Source organism: Homo sapiens, chromosome 2 (assembly GCF_000001405.40).
Source record: "Homo sapiens chromosome 2, GRCh38.p14 Primary Assembly".
Lineage (NCBI taxonomy): Eukaryota > Metazoa > Chordata > Mammalia > Primates > Hominidae > Homo > Homo sapiens.
In genome coordinates, this window is record NC_000002.12 from 186,480,464 (window position 1) to 186,485,799 (window position 5,336).

At 34.9% G+C, this 5,336-nt stretch overlaps 1 long non-coding RNA gene across 1 annotated transcript in view; it reads right to left on the reverse strand.

Moving 5' to 3' along the window:
• The window catches only part of LOC105373785 (uncharacterized), a 29,999-nt gene that overhangs the window by 24,462 nt on the left and 201 nt on the right, over positions 1 to 5,336 (reverse strand). The window lies entirely within an intron of this gene.

Genomic DNA, 5,336 nt, shown 5'->3' on the forward strand with positions numbered 1-5,336 from the left:
GATGACATAGATATTAACTAGGAGCAGAGGGTAGAAGTTGTTTAGATGTAGTGGTCAGGGATAACTGTTTAGAAGAATTGCCACCTGAGCTGCTATCTGTAGGATGAAAATGAGTCAGCCATGTGGAGACCTGTGGGAAGAATATATCCAAAAAGGGAACAAGGGAAACGATACCTTAAATACAATGTCATAATTACAAAAAAGACCCCTCAAAAATGCCAGTTATCAGCAGATGGCAGTATCCATATATGTAAGAAAAGAAATATAGGTCAATAGAGTTGGAAATATACACTTGTTTCAGATAGCCATGTCTTAAATTGGATGTCCAGTATGATTCATCCTAATGTGGAATGAGTAAGTAGCCGTATTTAAGCCAACTCAAGGCAAAATTACCAGGCCCTGTTGATACTCTACTACCCAAAAAGTTCTTCTCCCTAGGGTCCCTGCCACAGTTGCCTCTTTTCACTTTCCTCCCTAAACTTCTTTTTCTGTATTTACCTTTTAAACATTGTTCCTCACATTTTTATTCTTTTTTGGCTCTCTACAATCTTTTTCAAAGTAATCCATTCCCATTGGCCACCATGTTCTAAACTCTCTTCTGAGTTTACAAGTCAAATATATACCATTGGATTTTGCCACATAAATGACGCACTAGGACCATAAATTCAGCAGAGCCAAAACTGGATATGTTATTTCTTGCCCTGGCCACACATTCCAATCATTGCCTATGTAACCTCCCTGGCACCCACATTGATCACTTGCCCATGCTTGCCACCTGGATCCTCTTCTACTTTCTGACTTCTTCCCCTCAGCTCCCACATTCAGTCACCCAATCTCCTGATTTTATATTCTCCATATTTACTGGAGTAAGCTCATTTAGAAATTAATGTATCAATGCTGAATTCCTTACTTCTTTACACTATGACCTGAATTATATAGTAGTATCCACTAATTATGTGTTTACATGTGCCAAGTACTCTAATAAGTGACTGACATGCATTATATCATTTCGTCCTTCCAATAGCCCTATGAGCTAGGAACAGTATTATTCCTCTTTTATATATAAGAAGAGTAAAGCTTACCAGTGTCCAACAATTTGCCTAAAGTCACCTATATAAGTGGAAGGGAAGAAATTTAACCCACATATTTTGACTATAAAACATGACCTTTTATACAGTGTGTCATAAAAGAGAAATGGAAAATTAGCTTTCATAAGAAGAATCTAATTTGATAGTTCTTTTAGGAACAACTTTCCCACTTCAAAGGTTTTAGGATTCAAGGATAAATGACACTAAATCCAGCTATAAGGTGAGATGGTATTCAATCCATTAAAACAGTGGTTCTGAAATGTTTTCAGGTAGCAAATACCTGGAACTTGTGGTGTTATATGGAAAAATTTAAAATATATTAATAAATTTAATTTCACCAAAAAGACTGTAACATAAGACCATATTTTACATAAATGTCCCCACATTATTTTGAATATATAGGTTTTCCAGTCACATGAAATATTTGATCCATTACTGTTTCTTTTTTTTTTTAATCTGCTAGGTGAAAAATGCTAGCAATCTACTAATTTTTTAAGAATGACTATGAGGGAAAAAAGCTTAAAATTGAAAAAAAATATTTTTCTGTTAATTAGAAATACATCATCATTCAATTTAGTAGATCATCTTAGTCCAACCTACTGAACTCTTTCATATGAGCATAATTTGAGAACCACTAAAATATACATTTATTAAGCACCTATATTTAAGAAAATATGCAATGCGTTATGGGAAAACAATAAAATATCATGTCTCAGTTTACAAACTTACCGAGAAGAAAAAAAAATTCCTTACAGGGTTTTGATTTTGTCTTCTAAGACTATATAAATGTATGAAAAATGTTTACGCTTATTACAAGAAAATTAACTATTGTAGCTATGGAATAATCATCAATGCAAATTAAAACCTGTATATATGTATATGGGAGGTCTTCAAAGAAGTTATGAAATAGGGTGACACTATCAAATTCATACATTTGAAAATTTACTTTTGGAGTAATGCATTGTGAAGAAATTAGATCAAGAGAAACAGTTGCAATAGTCCAAGTAAAAATGTGGCCCTGAAATAGGATAGTAAAGTAGGAAGGAAATAATTTGAAAGAGGTTCCTTAAGATATAGAATCACTATGAATTGACTTGACTGGATTTGGAGGTTGAAAAAAGAATCAAAGATGACTCACCAAAGTTTCTAGTTATGATACCTAGATGGAAGGTAGATAGGTTTTTTTTTGGGAGGGGGGAGGTATACACATAAGACTATGAAAAGTTCGAAGGCACATAAGAGTAGAGAGGGAATATGAAGGTGGGGAATAGGAAAAGCTGGCCTAAAATGAGGAGTAAGAACTGAAATAACAGAAGATAAAAAGCAGATGTTATAGGCTGAGGAAGATGTGGAATCCCTTACACTCCCTTTAGAAAGACATAAGAAGCCATTAAAAAACTATTACTAGGGAAATGACATGGTTGATTTAAATCATTGGAAATGATTTAAGTGTCAACGAGGCAAAAAATATTTGGAAATCGTACATCTTGGTTTCTTGACAAATGCCATAATAACTATTATCATAATGGTACCAAGAAATATTTCAAATAGAAACAGAGAATTCACCCACTTAAGTCACCTACTTTAAGAAAATTTTACATCAGTGTAGGCTGGAGTGAAAGTTTACAGTATTGAAATTCAAACTGACAAGGTAAAAGACATTTTATATGCTTTACTGAAACACTAGCAAATCTTTTGTAATATCTTAATTCAGAGGGAAAAAAGTCTTAAAGGAGACTGACTATATGTCAGAATTTTGAAGCATTCACTATTTAAATCAAAATACTTCCTAATATGTACTGCCTTAACCCATAAAACAGATCAGCAATTTATATGGCCAAATGAGTCCTATCTTTATGACAAAAATTTACTTAGATAAACTAGTAGTCTTGTCTCTGCCCACCACCCCATAGCACAGTTTGGTCTATTATCAATCAGAGTCTGTCTTAGTTTACTAGGGCTGCAATAACAAAGTACCACAGACTGGGTGGCTTAAAAAACAGAAATTTATTTTCTCATAGTTTTGGGTGCTAGTAGGCTGAGATCAAGGTGTCAGCATGTTTGGTTTCTTCCAAGGCTTCTCTCTTGGCTTGCAGATGGCCACCTTCTAGCTATGTCTTCAAATATGTTTATGGAAATATTGTTCACAGAATCTATAGGAAGCCTGGAAAATCAGGCTTGGGAAATAAAAGAAGCAAGAAATAATAGCAAAGAATGAAGTAAGGACTTGTATGGATCTTGCCACACTGGCCTGCCGCCACTGGACTGGTAATACCATACATGCACTCTAATGCCCTGAAAAATTCCTACACTTTGAGTCTTTGTCTTGTTTTCTTGAGATTAAAAGCCTGAGACATAGGGCTTCCTTCCTATACAGAAGGACATTAGAATGCTGGATAGCAAACAATAATTTCTATTCAGTACAAAATCTACTGCCTTAATCTATTACATCTGATACATTCCAATAAATGTAAAGTTATCCAAATGGCTATATCCAAGGCAGTAAATTCACAGCCTGTCTACCAAATCGAAGCAGTCAGGTTTGACAGTTTTTCTTTTAGTTCTTTTACGGTGGGCATTTACCTCAGGTTTAACACTGTTCCCACAACTTCCTAATGTATTTCACTCATCCTGACGCTCAAGTTTATAGCCCTGCTTTCTTGGGTATATGAATTGTAACCCTTGGACTATGCCTTCTAAGCACTGTTTTGTGAAAGTTTCGTTTGAATTGTAAGGTCAATAAAAATAGCAGTAGAAGACATAAAAGTCCCAGCCCTGCTACCATTTGCTATTTGAGACCAGGAAAAACCATGTACCTTATTTCAAAAAGTAGTGAATTCAATGAGTTGGACTTCCTTATTTCTAAAATGTATGAAGAAATAGTGTACGAGGGAGAGTGCTATAAGAGCATGTACTATATTCAGAAATGTGTATTTTCCACTTGAGGCAAGAAAGGATCTTTGTTCTCTACCTGGGCTACACTTCAGAGGAAAAAACCGAAAGCAAAGGTCAGGAGACAGAAGAAGTTATGAACCATGAAACTGGAGCCATTATCATAACATTATGAGACTCTAGATTCTTTGTAACTTCCCCATATTTGTTACTTATAATTCATTTGCCTCATAATAATAATCAGTAAAATTACTCAAAATCAAAGGCCCAAAGGGCATCTTTGGGGCACTAAAAGTAGGAAGTTAAGACAACTACATTCCATATGCAAACAAAGTCTCAAAGGAGACGATCCCCAAATAATCAAATGGATAATAATACTGAGTAAAGAGGGGGCTGGCTGCATCCCTCCATCCTCTGACAAGAACTATGACAATTACAAAAAATAAAGATGAAAATATGTAAAAGGGGGGGAGCCCATTAACCTGCCAATATGAGCCCAAATGAAAAAAAGTGTGTCAACATACACCTGCCATTCTCGACACAATTCTTTTTAGTAGCTATCACATTTCTTCTACACACACACATACACACACAAAACATACTTGGGGTTCCTTGACATTATCTTACGTAGAAAATTACTAAGCAAATAATCAATTTGACTAAGTAGGGGGGCTTATCGTTTTCTCCCTATTCAAATTAATGAAAAAGATAAAAAAACTTTTATCTATAAAGATGATTCTTGGTTCCACAATGCTTCTTAACAGAAATAGTTTAAACAATAATCATTTTAAAAAATAACAGCTAAGCATTGTACATTTTTAAAAAATAGTATTTTCGTTTGTACAAATATCAATGGGTCCCATTCATCATTCAAGTACCTTTTCAAACAGGATCTAAGTTTGTAATGTTAGGTAATAGGCATATAGGCTGAAGCCGGACTGCCAAGATTACAATTGCTGGCTCTGTCCTTAATATAACTTTGGGCATCTTTCTTCCTTTCTCTGCTTCATCTATAAAACGAAAACAGTAACAACTCCCACCTAAGTGTCGTTGTGATAACTAAATGAAATAGTGTGTGTAATGTGCCAAGGAATTTCTGGAGCTACCAAGCACTTAAACTAAGTTCTAACTAAGTTTGGTTACTTTCACGTTATAAAGGAATTTTTAGGAATCACCTAGGCACTCTCCTAAAGTCTCAAAATAACTTAATACAGTACTTCTAAGGAGTTCAAGTGCCTCCTTATCTGGGACGCCATCTCAGATGCTCTTCAAATGAAAGGGACCCTGCAAATGAAAGTTAACTTTTTCCATTTTTTAAATAATCCTTCGCAGGAATCTGAAGCACGCGACACTCAC